Here is a 15858-nt window from a genome sequence, read left to right as displayed (position 1 = left end):
CCAGGCTTTTTGAGCCCTGGCCTCACCTTCTACCAGAATTAATAAAATACAGAAGTAGATTTATATTTGAAATGCTACTTCTGTGGTAAGCTTTAGGCTTTTGTAGCTTTCCATTCCTCATGTTCAGTTGATAGCTGCAGTCAAGCCAGAGGTCACTTTAAGGATTGGAGATCCGGCTTGCCTCGAGACTCAATGGTGAACATGGTTCATTGGCTCTTTTGGATCAGTCTGGGCCCCCTCTTGAATGCAGATGAGGTAAAAATAGGTGATTCATTTCAGGTTGGCAAGAATAAACTCTAGATTGTTTTTGTCACTTGTTTCAGATTAGACATGTGTGCATGCACACCTGCCTCTGAGTAGGTCCTTGTGTATATTGCAGAACCTAATAATGATCACTTGCTTTACTTACTGTCGAGTTTTATCTGCCTTTGCTTATACATTTCCAGCTGCTTTTTATTTATTTATTTATTTATTGAGATGGAACCTCGCCCTTTTGCCAGACTGGAGTGCAGTGGGGTGATCTTGGCTCACTGCAACCTCTGCCTCCCAGGTTCAAGCAATTCTCCTGCCTCAGCCTCCCGAGTAGCTGGGAATACAGGTGTGCACCACCACCCCCGGATAACTTTTGAATTTTTAGTAGAGATGGGGTTTCACCATGTTGGCGAGGCTGGCCTTGAGCTCTTGACCTCAAGCATTCCAGCCGCCTCAGCCTCCCAAAGTTCTGGGATTACTGGCATGAGCCACTGCACCCTGCCAAATTTTCAGCTGCTTTCTCACAAGCAGGCAAAGGAAGAGGGGATGTATGTTAGATTAACTTAGAGCTCTAAGGTTGAAGGGTCATTTGATATCATATTCATTTTATAGATGAAGTCACAGACTTAGAAATGTTGCCTGCCGTCAACCAGCTGATAATGACATAAGATCAAAATGACAATGGGAATATTTAAATTTTTATTTTAAATATGTATTGAATTTGACCTGATCCTTGGGCTTGTTGGAGTAAGATTATCAGGTAGAATATGGCAGACTGTAAAAGTGGCCCCAATGACCTTTTCTTGGTGGGAACATTTCCTCCTACTTTTCTTCATCGTTTATGGTCATCTATAGGTGTGGTAGGGGGAGTAGCTGATAGTAATGCCAATCTATGAGAAGATGTCTGGTCATTTTGCTGGGAGGAGAGGTGATATGGAACGTGTGAAGGGAGAAAGATGAGAGTTGGGCTGGTAATGAAATATCACGTCTGACTCGATCTTCCTGCACAGAATCATGGTTTCCTGTAAAGGAATAGATTGTTGCGTGATGATAGATTTGTAGATTGTTAGAGCTGAAAGCAGCAAAATATATTGGATAGAATATATGGGCTTTGGAGCCAGGGACCAGAAGCTAAATTCTGGAAAGTTGCCTAACCTCATTGTGCTAGTTTTCCTTATCCTTATAATAAAGATGATAATGCTCACCTCACATAGGGTTGTGAGGATTTAAGGGGACAGTCAATATAAAGTAGATGCTGAAGAGGGGTGGATGGTATGAGGGACAACTTGATTTAGAGGAATGATCACATGCTTTGGAGTCAGGCAGGATTTTCATATGAACTTGGTCACTGATGTTTACCTAGGGCAAATAGGTAACCTTCTCCGGAGTCCTTCTCCGGAGTCCAGTTTCTCTATAATGCATACACATTTTGAGCTTTAACTGAAATAATGTACATAACTGTTTAGCACAAGTTACCTATTCAATAAGTGGTCTAGGAGCTGGCGGATGCTTTAAAGAAGGAACATCTAAATTTAGCTTTACAGTCCTGTTATATACCTCAATATGTCACCATCTAATTTTGGCATCAAAATTAGAGTTCCTTAGAAACAACATTTAAAAAGTTTACATCCTTTTCTTACCATGCAGCCTCTTTTAAAGCTAATTTATTTTATTTTCTGACACCATTTCTGTGCTTTCACTTAAGAGTTCTTACATCTTTTTGCTTTCAATCCCTTCCCTCCAATTTTGTAAAAATGATACTGGAACATTCTTTAAAAAACAGGCAAATGAAGTCAGAATAATAACAATAAAACATTGCAGGCTGTGAACTGGCATAGTACTGACAAAGGTTACTTTATAAATATTTAGCAGATAGGTATTTCAGTACATACTGGACGAGTATTTTATTTGTGGAAATTGAAGGCCCATAATAAATTGAGCATATTTAATATGCAACATAACAGAAAAAAATTGATGGTAAAAGTTGCCATTTCAAAGTGCAATTCTTTCTCATCACCTGTAGATCTTCCCATTTTTAGAGTCAAGTGAGGTTCAAAGTTTGGTGTCACTTCTCCTTGTACTTTCTGAAACTACAATCTATGGTTAGGCTTTAAAATTAAAAAAACATTTTTTTTTTCCTTTTCTTCTCCTCCTCCACTGCCCCCTAATTTCTGTCCAGGAAGGGTTTATATGTAGAAAACATAATAAATCACATGATTTCTATACCTCTTCTATATTCTTAGGACTCAGTTTAAAGAATTGTTTTAATGTATGTTCATTCCATACTTCCTCCAGATAGAATGATTATTTCACCATTGCTCCATGAAAGGATAAAAATAAGTTTTACTTTTGACCATGCTATGGTCTGAATATGTTCCCCTAAAATTCATATATTGAATTCCTAACCCCCAATGTGATGGTATTAGGAGGTGAGGCTTTTGGGAGAGACAATTAGATCACCAACACATAGCTCTCATGAGTGGGATGAGTATCCTTATAAAGAGGACTGAGAAAGGCCCCTTGCATCTTCCACCATGAGGACACAGCTGGAAGGCCCCACCTGTGAGCTAGGAAACCAGCCCTCACCAGAATCAGTCTGTCGGCACATTGATCTTGGACTTCCAGCCACCAGAACTGTGAGAAATAAATTTCTCTTTTTTATAAGTCACTCGGTGGTATTTTGTTATAGCAACCTAAACAGAGTAAGACCTTTTATGTTGTGCCCAGTGTATTTGATCCAGAGGTTATTCTTCTGTAAGTAGAATTTGATCAGTGGAGATAGGGAATTTCATCAGGATTCATCTTTAAAATAGAGTATTTTGAGAAAAGAGGTAAGAAAATAGCCTGTAGGTAAGTAGTTTCTGAGAAAGGCAGGAAGCCAAATCTGACACTGCTGCGAAGATCCTAGTTTAACAGGATCAATGTTAAGCTCAGAGAATTGGCTTTCTTATTCTTATCAACCATGTATCACTGTATTTGAATCTAGACTTGGATTTTCCATACTTTAGTGGGGTTTCTGTTGTTGCTTTATATTGTGGAGTATTATTTTTAAGTCAGACTCCGTCTAACCAGATTTTGTTAATTATGGCTCCATTTTTTTGCTCTCATCCCAGAACATCTTGTCAGCTCCTAGGAGTATGTTTGAAACAATATATTTTGATGTTCAGGCTGTTTCCCTGCTTCCAGCATTTGTAAGGGCTCTGACCCACTTACAGGAGGAGAAAACAAAGATGTATTATTTTGGTTGAGAAGGACTAGATGTAACTGCCTCAGTGATACCTTGATAATTTAGGAAAAATGTCCTTTGTTCTCTCTATATTTTTATTTGAGTGACCTATGCAAAGATAAATTGTAATGACATTTTTTTCTGACTTAATAGGAAGGAAGGAATGCTATCTATACTTTGTGCTTTCTGATGTTAAATTGTAGCTTTTGTTTGAGAAGTTTTTCATAAAAATTTTAGGTCGCTTATAACATAGGAAGGTTTATTTTATTGTTGCCCTTTTTAACAACTGATTAAATTGTGCTATATAGGAAGAATTTATAATTCATTGCCTCTTCTGATGAATGGGACTATTTCTAGAGTAGGGTTTCCTAATCAGGAGGCTGGACTATTCAGATATGTAGTGCAATTGTACACTCTGGTTTGCCAGGGATGGCTGTGATTTATATGTTTTTTGGCTTGCTTATTAGGAGAAGTGGAATGAAGCCCCTTCGTTCTTAGAAGTGTATTGGATGATAACTTTACCTGGCTGCCCCGGCCTAATGACTCCGTAGACCACAAGTTTGCTTACTGCCTTCGTGCTTTGTTCTCTTGTCAAGTTGTCCATTTTGGAAGAAAGCTTAGAAGAGTGTGCTCCAAAGTGGTCGTGGGTATTTCGGTCTAGGTGGTGGGGTTATAAATGATGTTACTTTCTTCATTGTGTTCATTTCTAATTTCCTACTGAAAATGATTTTCTTATTAAAATCAAAACACAGAACAAATTTTCAGAAATTATTTAATTTTAATAAAAATGAAATAATGACTGTGTAATGGTGAAGCTTGTCATTCAGGCTTCTGGGTTCCAAATAATACAAACTGACTGGCTATTTTATTTCTAGTTACAGTGATTGAAGTAGGTTGTGTAATAAAAGAGTGGGCAATGGGAGAGGCAGCAGCTGTGGGCAAACCACTGGATCAGCCTTGAGGCCATGGTGCTAGATGTGTCTTGCCACTGAAGCTGAGTCCTTCCAGTGATTTTCCCCTGTAGTTTTGCCGCTTGTGACCTCGAGACTTCTTTGGAGAGTCACCACCAGTGGGCATGTTACAAACTGAGCCTAGGCCGTGGGCCTCTGCCTTGGCTGCCTGGGAGTAAGGACAGACTGTACCTCCTGAGGCTCCTGGAGTGGGAAGCAGTGCTTTATGCTGACTCCTGTCCAGACTTTTCTCAGCATCTTTTCTCACCCAAGGGATGATGATGATGAGGATGATGACGACGATGATGATTTTGTTACCTTGACTATTGATCAGTTAGGACTTTGAGGCAAGTATCACCTTTCAGGGGCCATCTGCCTTGAAGTGAAAATGATTGTTAATTTTGTTGCTAGTTGTTTATTCAAGTGATGCTGCTTTGCTGTTGTTTACCCTGCACGATTCAGCCTTTACTTAGAAGCTTTTGTCATTTGTCTGGTTGGGGGAGTATGGAATAGTTATTTTGACAGAGGAGCTGATTTAGATATATGCCTTGCCTTTAACTCTAGGTTATTTTGCTCATGAGTTGTGTCAAACTTAATAATAATGTGGCTTTTTTAGTGCTCTGTCAGACTCTACTGCTGCTTTTATTGCCTGTTTATAAACATTTAAATGTTTTCCCCTAAATCAGTCTTAAGACTTAAATGTTTATAATGCACCTATAACCAAGCAGGAAAAATAGAAATATCTTGAGTTAATTGCCCTGGATGGTGCTTCCTTACGTTCTTCATGTTTGGCTTGTAGCTTTACCACAGCACTCAGATGTCTCATGTCTGGTTGTAGACCCTATCCCCATTCGGTCTTTGTGATAACTCTGCTTATCTGTCAAGGTATTCAAGTTTTAAAGTATGTATCATGGTCACAGCAAAAGCTTTGTGCCCTCTTCTAAGTTTGTTTTTTCATTTTTCTAGTTAGAAGTTGAATTTGAGATTTAAGTAGTATTTAGAGTTCCTTTTAGAGATGAAAACTATCTGGGCTCCAGAATAATGATCAGTTTAGACTGTTCGCTCCTCTGAGCTTTGAGTTGTTTTAATGAGGAAAATTTGTTTGATGAACTAGAATATCTGCACATTCTTCTCCTAGGAATTAGAACATGTCATTGAGCCAAGTAAAGGTGTAATGTGCTTTTCAGAATGTACTGAGAAGATTGCATAATTTAGTGTATCTTTTATTAGTAGACTTGCAGTGGGGAGTAGGAATATGCAGGATGTTATGACAAATAATAATGGTTAGATTTTCTATTCTGATTTTTCCTTTAATTTTTCAAAATAAAAAATCATCTGGCAGCCTACAGAATGGTATTTAGAACATCACACCTTTCCAGACAGGGTTTGGTCAGAAGCTAAGTTTGTGGGCTTTTGAGAGGTGTTGCATTTGATGCTGCTGCAGTATCTTGGGTTTCTAGTCATCTTTCAGAAAGCTGGTCATGTATGGCATTCTGGCCTCTGGCCACTCTCCAGGCCCAGTGCCTGTCTTTACACAAACTTGACTTCCTAGTATCACCAACTATAATTTAAATCCTTAAGCTGATGTCTGTTGCTTTGGAGATGTTATGTCACATTCTGCATCTCTCAGCACTGCATGAAACAGTGTTCCCAAACTAGTCTTTTGATTCTATCTCTATATTTGTGGAGGTGGTTCATTGTGTCTTTTCATTTATTTAGTTTTTTAATGAAAATCTTGAGACACTTTTTCTTGATTACTTAAATTTGGCATTTCACACCTGGTACCCATGGACTCTTCTCTTTGCTCCTGTTGTTGGTTAGGGTACACTGGTATGCTCTTGTCTTGTCTTCTCTCTGGCAAGTGAACTACAGGTTGTTATAAGTGGTATCATTGAGGGGAATGGTGTTTGTTTTGTGTGTCAAAAATTTCTGAATTTCTCATCTTGGACCTGTCATTTACTAGGCATGTTATTTCCTGTATTGTCCTGAAACCTATTTCCTCATCTGTAAAACGGGAATAAAACCTATTTTCCCCCTTCACAGTGCCATTATATCAGAGGTGATAATACTGTATGTTAGTGAATCTGCTGCCTGTAAGTGATAATTTACACCATTATTTTATGCACCACCAAGAAAGAAAAATCACTGCTAATTAAACTATGATATACTGTTGATGGGAAGATGCACTCTGTTATCAGAAATTGTGAAAAAATACATATTAGAATAAATGAAATATGTTATGTGAAAACACTACTGTCCATAATGCTGTCAGTGATATTTTAAAAACCACAAATCCTATAATGTCATTTCCCTGTCCTAAACTCCTGAAAGATAAAATCAACCTTCGTATGATGAACAGCGTCTAGCATAATCTAGATCAGAGTGTGGCATCTGCAGCACCTGAGTACTTGTTAGGAAGGCACCTTCTCAGACCCTACCCCATTCCTATGGAATCAGAAACACAGGGATGGAACCCAGCAACTGTACTGTAACAAGGTCTTGAGGAGACTCTGACATATACCTAAGTTTGAGAACCACAGATCTTATTCAGGCCTATTTCAAGTTTCTTTCCTTTTGCTTTTCCTCTAATGTACCTATAGATGTTAGTATAGAAGTACTGCTAGAATATAAATGAATTCCCCTTTCCCCAAGAAATTATCCCCCGGAGAATAGTGCTGTGCAACATCTCTCATATTAGAGGGAACTATCTCAATGACTTTATTTTGAATAGCTAATAATTCTTTGTGATGACATAAATGGAAATGGTTTCAATCTTTTGTTAGTTTTAGGTAATTTAGAGTTCACTAGTAGAAATAGTTTTTTTTTTAAAGATATTTTAACACCTGTTTTGTTAATTATTTCTCATAGTTTCAAATGTTGAATGTTTCTCATGCCTTTTATAGATCATATGAAAAAGCAAAACAATAAGTGATTGTGATATAGAGAGGATATATTTGTTTGTGTATAAAACCAAATGGAAAAGCTAACTGACATGAACGAGAATGAGTAGTTATTTTTGACTTGGGGAACACTTCCTTTGGCAATACCATACATATTTAAAATGCATGCACATGCACACACACACACACACACACAATCCCAGACAACGTAGAAGTGAAAATGCTGCATTTCAGAAAACTGACTTTAGACTAAAGAGATGGCTTTACTGATGAGTACAATGATGGTAAAGGTGCATGTGATAAAGCATTTGAAATAAACTTGCTTTGTGACAATGGGAAATACAGTCTTTCCAAATAATCTATAACATGAATTTAAATACATATGTACTTGAATTAAACATTAAATATTATAAGCAAACATTTGACTATTTTATCTCTATTCCTACAAGTTTACAAAATTTTGGTGGGAGCCGTTGCCAAATAATACTTGTAGTTTCCAAAAAATTACATTACCCTGTCTGCCTCAGATGGTCTCCCACAGAGGTATCTAATCTTTTGGCTTCTCTGGGCCACATTGGAAGAAGAAGAATTGGCTTGGGCCACACATAAGATACGCTAACACTAACGATAGCTGATGAGCTTAAAAAATTGCAGAAATAACTCATGTTTTAGGAAAGTTTGTGAATTTGTGTTGGGCCTCATTCAAAGCCGTCCTGGGCTGCATGTGGCCTATTGGACAGGCTTGGTCTAACACCTCTTTCTTCTTGTGGAATTCATGTGTTCTTTGAAATTCTGTTACCATCTTCTCCATGTCTGTGATGCCCTCTTTTCTTACCCACACTGAACCTTTTTTTTTCCTGCTTCATATAGCATGTGGTGAATCTTATATCAGCACACCTATCTTCATTGCTTTGGTGCTTTTCTGCTTGCTGCTTTTCTTCTTCTAATGTGTAAGTTATTTTAAGGCTGCCTCTCCAACGCAATACATAGCTAAGTGCTTAAGATCCTGGGCTTTGTAGACAGTCTTTGTTTTGAAGGATGGTTTAGTTACTATTTAGTTATATACCATTGGGTAAGTTACTTAATGTTTCTCAGTCTCTGGACGTTGATAATAATTAGTTTGTTGGCTGCATTATTTTACGGGTTGAAGTGGCACATAGTAAGCATCAGTATAGCCTATTATTAAATTTTGTCTTCATGGTATTTAGCACATCGTAGAGATCCAGGAAATATTTCTTAAATGAGATAGTAGAAGTTTCTCTAATGATCTTTTGGTAGATTGAAAAGCAATAGCAATCCATTGATGAAATATTAGTTTACATTTCAAAAATCTTATTTACTGGTTAATATATTTGCATTGTTTTAAACAGTATTTAATTCTGTCCCTTTGTTTAAAACAAACAAAAAACACCCACAACCGCATTTTCCAGTGGCAACTACTAGTATAAATCTTTGTAGTCTTTTTCTTTTTACATAACTGAAATTACTAAAATAATCAGTCTCATTTACCTTATTATAACTGGTGCAGCAAAGGTGTTCTTAATGTGAATCTGTTTAAAACAGGGATCTAAATTTTATGTAAGTCATAAAAAAATTTAATTGGGCCTTATTTTAATAATAATAGATACTAATTATTAAAATGAAATTAGTTTTATTTTAATATTTAACAAAATTTATCACTCTTGGATCTGTTAGTTTATAGAATGAACAAAGAATTGACCCAAATATTGTTTCTCTTGTAATAGTTTCCAAAAAAATATGATTTTTTACTTATTTTATTTTTATTTTCATTTTTCATTTTTTTTGAGACGGAGTCTTGCTGTGTCGCCGAGGCTGCTGGAGTGCATTGGCTCACTGCAATCTCTGAGTCCCAGGTTCAAGCGATTCTCCTGCTTCAGTCTCCTGAGTAGCTAGGATTACAGGTGCACACCACCATGCCTGGCTAATTTTTTTTCTTTGCATTTTTAGTAGAGACGGGATTTCATCATTTGGCCAGGCTGGTTTTGAACTCCTGACCTTAAGTGATCCACCGGCTTTGGCCTACCAAAGTGCTGGGGATAACAGGTGTGAGCCACTGCGCCCAGCCCGTATTTTATTTTTACAGGAATTATAAAGGAACTATTTTGTAAAAGTAGTTGAGAGCTTCACCTCTTTTCCACTGATCTCTAATTCTCTCATATGCAAGTTCTCCATTAAAGAGCCTGTCAGTCCATTATCTTTGTTGATATTGTCTTCTACAGTTGTTAGTTGGTCTGCTGGGTTCTTGTTTGCCAGTACCCTTGGCTGTTACTAAGGTCAACAAGGCTTTTATTGCTACCATGAAGTCTTGCATATTTTGTAAGGTTTTCAGGTTTATTGAATTGTATCTGCATTCTCTTGTCAACTGCTTAGTTTCAGATGCGATTAGGTGTTTTCAGGGTGGCGTGACTATAGACAGCCACTCAGTTTCTATCAAAGACTATTAATTGACCTGTGCCTTCATTAAACTCCTTCCTTCCCTTTCCCCTTCCTTCCTTCCTTCCTTCCTTCCTTCCTTCCTTCCTTCCTTCCTTCCTTCCTTCCTTCTTTCCTTCCTTTCCTTCCTTCCTTCCTTGCTCCCTCCCTCTCTCCCTCTCTTCTCTCTTCTCTTTTCCTTTCTTTCCCTCCCTCCTTTCCTTTGCCTAGGCTGGAGTGCAGTGGCGTTATCTCAGCTCACCACAACCTCCGCCTCCCAAGTTCAGTGATCAAGTGATTCTCCTGCCTCAGGCTCCTGAATAGCTGGGATTACAGGCACCCGCCACCACACCCACCTAATTTTTGTATTTTTAGTAGAGACGAGGTTTCACCATGTTGGCCAGGATGGTCTCGATCTCTTGACCTCGTAATCCACCTGCCTCAGCCTCCCAAAGTGCTGGGATTACAGGCGTGAGCCGCTGAGCCTGGTTATCTTTTTTTTTTTTATTATTATTGTTGTTTTTTTTAATGGGGAGAGATATTTGAAAAGGGTCTGATTTTATTAATGGTTATTTCACATGTGAATATTTCTGTTACTGTTTTTTTTTGTTTTGTTTTGCAGCCTTTTCACTTTAGAGACTTAGATTACAAGTGTTTGAATAATGATAATATCCTAAGTACAAATTTTTATTGCCGTTTTTGTTTTACTTTTGTACTTAAAAACTCTTTGCAAACTTGATCTTTTTTTTTTTTTTTTTTTTTTTTAGATAAGGTTTCGCTCTTGTTGCCCAGGCTGGAGTGCAATGGCGCGATCTCGGCTCACCGCAACCTTTGCCTCCCGTGTTCAAGCGATTCTCCTGTCTCAGCCTCCCGAGTAGCTGAGATTACAGGCATGTGCCACCATGCCTGGCTAATTTTGTATTTTTAGTAGAGACGGATTTCTCCATGTTGGTGAGGCTGGTCTCGAACTCCTGACTTCAGGTGATCTGTCCGCCTCCCAAAGTGCCGGGCTTACAGACGTGAGCCACCGCGCCCGGCCTGCAAACTTGATCTTAAAAATAAATTTTAGTCTGGGTGTGGTGGCTCATGCCTTGAATTCTTAAAGCAGGCAGATTATATAGGCAAGAGGATTGCTTAAGCCCAGGAGTTCGAGACCAGTCTAGGCAACATAGCAAGACCCATCTCTACAAAAGGTAAAATTTCCTGGGTGTGTTGGCAAGTGCCTATGGTTCCAGCTACTCAAGAGGCTGAGGTGGGAGGATTGCTAGAGCCCAGGAGTTCAAGGTTACAGTGAGTTATGATCACACCACTAGACTCCAGACTAGGTGACAGAGTGAGACCCTGTTACCAAAAGAGTAAATGGACAATCTACAGAATGGGAGAAAATATTTGCAAATGATGTATCTGACCAAAGTTTAGTATCCAGCATCTATAAAGAACTTAAACAAATTTGTAAGAGAAAAACAATACCATTAAAAAGTGGGCAAAGGACATAGACACTTTTCAAAAGAAGACATACATGGGGCCAATAAGCATATGAAAAAAAGTTCAGTATCTCAGATCATTAGAGAAATGTAAATCAAAACCACAGTGAAGTATTATCTCACATCAATTATAATGACTATGGTTAAAAAGCCAAAAAATAACAGATGCTGGCGAGATTGCGGAGAAAAGGGAACATTTATACACTGTTGGTGGGAGCATAAATTTGTTCAACCACTGTGGAAAGCAGTATGGTGATCCCTCAAAGAGCTAAAAACAGAACTACCATTCGACTCCGCAATCTTATTACTGGGTGTGTACCTAGAGGAATATAAGTCATTCTACCATGAAGACGCATTCATGTGGATGTTCAGTGCAGCACTGTTCACAATAGCAAAGACATGGAATCAATGTAAATGCCGATCAGTGACCGACTGGATAAAGAAAATGTAACACTATGCAGCCATAAAAAAGAAGAGATAATGTATTTTGTGGGAACATGGATAGACCTGGAGGCTATTACCCTTAGGAAAAGAATGCAGGAGCAGAAAACCAAATACCACATGTTCTTATTTATAAGGGGGCGCTGAGTGATAAGAACTCATCAAATCAGCACAAAGAAGGAAACAGACACTGGGGTCTACTTGGCGAGGGAGGGTGAAAATAGGGAGAGGGGCAGACGAATTAACTATTGGTACTAGGCTTACTACAATAATCTGTACAACAAACCTTAGTGACACAAGCTTACCTATATGACAAACATGCACATGTACCCCTGAACCTAAAAGTTAAAATAAAAAACACATTTTGCTTGTAATAAATTCAAGAATATTGCATTTATAGTATTAACAATATGTTGGCTGTCATAAACAATGATTTTTGATAATAGTTGTATACTTTTTTTTAACTGAAAAATGGTTGGTTTATTTTCCAGAAATAAATTCCTAAGATAGAATCACAACATATGACAGAGATCATATTCATTCCTAAGACAAGAATCAACAAGATTTTTCATGCATATTGCCCAGCTATTTTAACAGTTGACGTTTGTCAACATGTGAGTGTCCATTTCAGCATTCCTTTATCTGTGTATATGATTGTCTTTAAAAACCGGGACAAATGTGAGTGGTGAAGCAAGGGCACCTCGTTGGTATACATGTCCTTTATAGGAAAAGAAATCTGGTCTCTGGGTAAATCTTTTTACCTTCCTGTCTTTCTTTCTTCATCATGCTTAAGTGTGCTGGAGTAATCTTTCTAAAGCACATGGATGGTTTTGCCATCTCCCTATTCTCTATCTACTGCTTACTTGCTTTTTTGCCAGTGTGAGAGCCTGGTGGTTATGGTCTCCAGTGTCGGTGTCCACCACCTTTGCAGCTACATTCATTATATTGGACGTATGCCCTGCTGCTGCCCAGCTGGTGGAATGCAGCTGTTTGTCCGCCCTTTGTTCTTGTTACTGCTCCCTCTACCTGAAATGTTCCAGCCTCCATCTCTGTCAAAGTCTTCCACACCTTCCATATCCATCTTAGGTATCATTCTCATTTGTACCTTTCTGTTTTATTAAAGGACTCTGTGGTTTTGGGCCCTCTTATCCTCAGGCATTCTTGCTTTGCTCAGGATGAGCATTACAGTGTTCAGCTGACAGACCTTGGTAATTCCTGCCTTAGCATTTTAAGGATAGAAGAGGCACTGATTCTCCTTTTACAAAATGTCTTCCCCACTGCTGGCTAAAATCTACCTATATGTCAGATCCAGTTCAGTCCCACGTCTTCTTGAAACCTTCCGGTGTGATTAAGTCCTCCTCATTTCCATCAAAACCACTTAGTACTTAAAATAAAAACTGTCGTGCAGTTTTTGCCTTGATTCCTGGACTAGATCCCTGGGACAGCGACTCAGCTTCGCTGTTGATTTTATCCCACCCCCATTCCCCCCCACCCACTGCCTCTGGCTGAACACAGCAGTGCAAGTTCTTACTTGAAAGAATATTGAGATCTTTTTGCTCTGTATATGATTGTTTGATATTTCTCAGCTCTTAACCTCAGTTCTCTGAGGAATAGTCTAACCAAGACTTATTCCTACTCTATGATAGTCCTGTAACCTGACTCTAGAATTTTATTCCTGCGCTCCCCCTTCATCTGTTGTGGGCACTGCGGAAGGAGAGGGAGAGATACCTCCTCCATAGCTAAGATCAAAGCTACGTATTTGATATAATAAAAATGACATATTTAGATGTCTGGATTTTTTATGTTAGCACAAAAAGGATGGCCTTTTTTTTTTTGAGACGGAGTCTTGCTCTGTCGCCCAGGCTGGAGTGCAGTGGCGCAATCTCGGCTCACTGCAAGCTCCGCCTCCCGGGTTCACGCCATTCTTCTGCCTCAGCCTCCTGAGTAGCTGGGACTACAGGCGCCCGCCGCTATGCCCGGCTAATTTTTTTGTATTTTTATTAGAGATGGGGTTTCACCGTGTTAGCAAGGATGGTCTCGATCTCCTGACCTCGTGATCTGCCCGCGACGGCCTCCCAAAGTGCTGGTATTACGGGCGTGAGCCACCTTGCTCGGCCAAAGGATGGTCGTTTTAAAGCAACAAGTGTACCTTCAAAATTTTGGGTGGTTTTATGTGCTTTGTCTGTTGAGTTGAACTCACTGCAGTTCCCTGAACTCGGTGCTGGCTCTCTTGGGCCAGCCTTTTTAAAACAGCTAGCTGTTGGTGTTTGTACCATTTTCATTCCAGCTTCAATTTCACAGTGAAAAAGTAGCAGAGAGACCACTACTATTGTGAGCAGTAGTTATGATGCAGGGCTTTTCTCGGCCTCTTCACTGGACTTGTAACAGGGGCGCCCTGTTTACTCAGCCTGCCATTCTCCAGCGCTTGCAGGAGGGAGCATGTGAGCGAGCGAGTGCGGGATCCGGCTGGCTGCTCCAGGCGCCAACACGGGAACAAGCTCTCGCAGCGCCCAGGTGAGGGTGCCTGGGACTCTGAAGCCCCAGAGTGAGTGTTACGGTATTCTCTTAGTTCTGCTGTCTGCAGACAGCAGTGTGTTAGCAGCTCATCTTGCCGCTTGTGGCGCTGCCTAGGTGAGGGTGCCCGTGACCCCGAGGCCTGAGAGAGGGTGTTACACTGCTCTCTTAGTTCCGCTGTCTGCGGACGGTGGTGTGTTAGCAGCTCAGATGGCCCCTTGCAGGCGTGAGCCACTGCGCCCGTCTCCAAAAACTTTTTTTAAAGGTGTTGACATAATCTTTCTACATTCTTACATTAGGCCCATTAGGATACATCTAAAGAACTTTTTATTTCATCTTTCAAGTTTGTGTTAGTATCCAGAAATTGGAATTTCAGCAATTTCTCTTTAAAACAACATCTTTTATGAAATGTAATTTCAGAAAGTTGAGTTGATGTGCTTTCTTTATAAAGCTTCCAATGGAAATTTTCTAAACAGTATTTGAAGGATCTAAATTCAGCCACTGTACTATTCTAGTGACAGCCCATTAATTTCCCAGGTATACTGAGATTTTTCCAGTCTTTGTATAACTTTTTTTCATATGAAATTAGGAGATTGGGCTGGGTGCCATGGCCCACATCTCTAATCCCAGCACTTTGGGAGGCTGAGCCCAAGAGATGGAGGTTGCAGTGAGCCAAGATTGCATCACTGCAATCCAGTCTGGGCAACAGAGTGAGACCTCGTCTCAGAAAAAAAGAAATTAGGATATTGGTTTTCACCATTTATATTTGTTATTAAAATCTTCCTTTTCTAAATAGTAGGCTAGAAATAGTAAAGTAATAAAAATTGGATTACTGATCCATTATTTGGAGTCTTATCGTTGTTAGTTACTTTTTTTTTTTTTTTTTTTTTTGCTGAATGATACTCTGTTTTGTGGATACACTACATTTGGTTTATCTGTTCATCAGTTGATAAACATTTGGATTGTTTTTACTTTTTGGATGTTCTGAATATTGTGACTGAACATTCATGTACATGTTTTTGAGTGAATATATGTTTTTATATCTACTGGATAAATACCTAGAAGTGAGATTGCTGGGTCGTATGATAACTTATATGTTTGAAATTTTGTAGAACTGCCAGAATGTTTTACAAAACAGCAGAGTCGTTTTACATTCCTACCTGCAGTGTAAGAGATTTTTAATTTCCCAGGATCCTCACCAACACTTGTTAGCATCCTTTTACTTGTAGTTATCCTACTGGACATGAAGTGGTATTTCATTGTAGTTTGGATTTGCATTTCTCTGATGGCTAATGATGTTGAGCCATCTTGTCATGTGCTTTTTGGCTACTTGTATGTCTTTTTTGGAGGAACATCTATTCAGATCCTTTGCTTTTTTAAATTGTGTCTTTTCACAAAGACATAAGAATGATGCAACGGACTTTGGGGACTTAGGGGAAGAGTGGAAAGGGGGCAAGGGATAAAAGATAACATATATGGTGCAACATATACTGCTTGGGTGATGGATGCATTAGGATCTCACAGATCACCACTAACGAACTTACTCATGTAACCATATACTACCTGTACCCCAATAACTTATGGAAAAAGTTTTTTAAAAATTGTGTCTTTTGTCTTTTTTTATTACTGAGTTAAGAGTTCTTTGCTTTGTTACTTGG

General features: G+C 39.0%; 1 protein-coding gene across 34 annotated transcripts in view, besides 1 other annotated feature; it reads left to right on the top strand.

Moving 5' to 3' along the window:
• The window catches only part of SRPK2 (SRSF protein kinase 2), a 284618-nt gene that overhangs the window by 156373 nt on the left and 112387 nt on the right, over window positions 1-15858 (top strand). The window lies entirely within an intron of this gene.
• Window positions 14116-14616: an enhancer, noted in NCBI's record as "H3K27ac hESC enhancer chr7:104868816-104869316 (GRCh37/hg19 assembly coordinates)". NCBI's record gives its function as "activates a minimal SCP1, AML or CMV promoter by ChIP-STARR-seq in naive H9 embryonic stem cells {active_cell/tissue: H9 hESC(naive)}" and the evidence as "EXISTENCE:reporter gene assay evidence [ECO:0000049][PMID:30033119]".

The sequence above is a fragment of the Homo sapiens genome, chromosome 7, assembly GCF_000001405.40.
Source record: "Homo sapiens chromosome 7, GRCh38.p14 Primary Assembly".
Taxonomy (NCBI): Eukaryota; Metazoa; Chordata; class Mammalia; order Primates; family Hominidae; genus Homo; species Homo sapiens.
The sequence above is the reverse complement of the archived record's forward strand: the minus strand, read 5'-3'. Positions and strand labels throughout refer to the sequence as shown.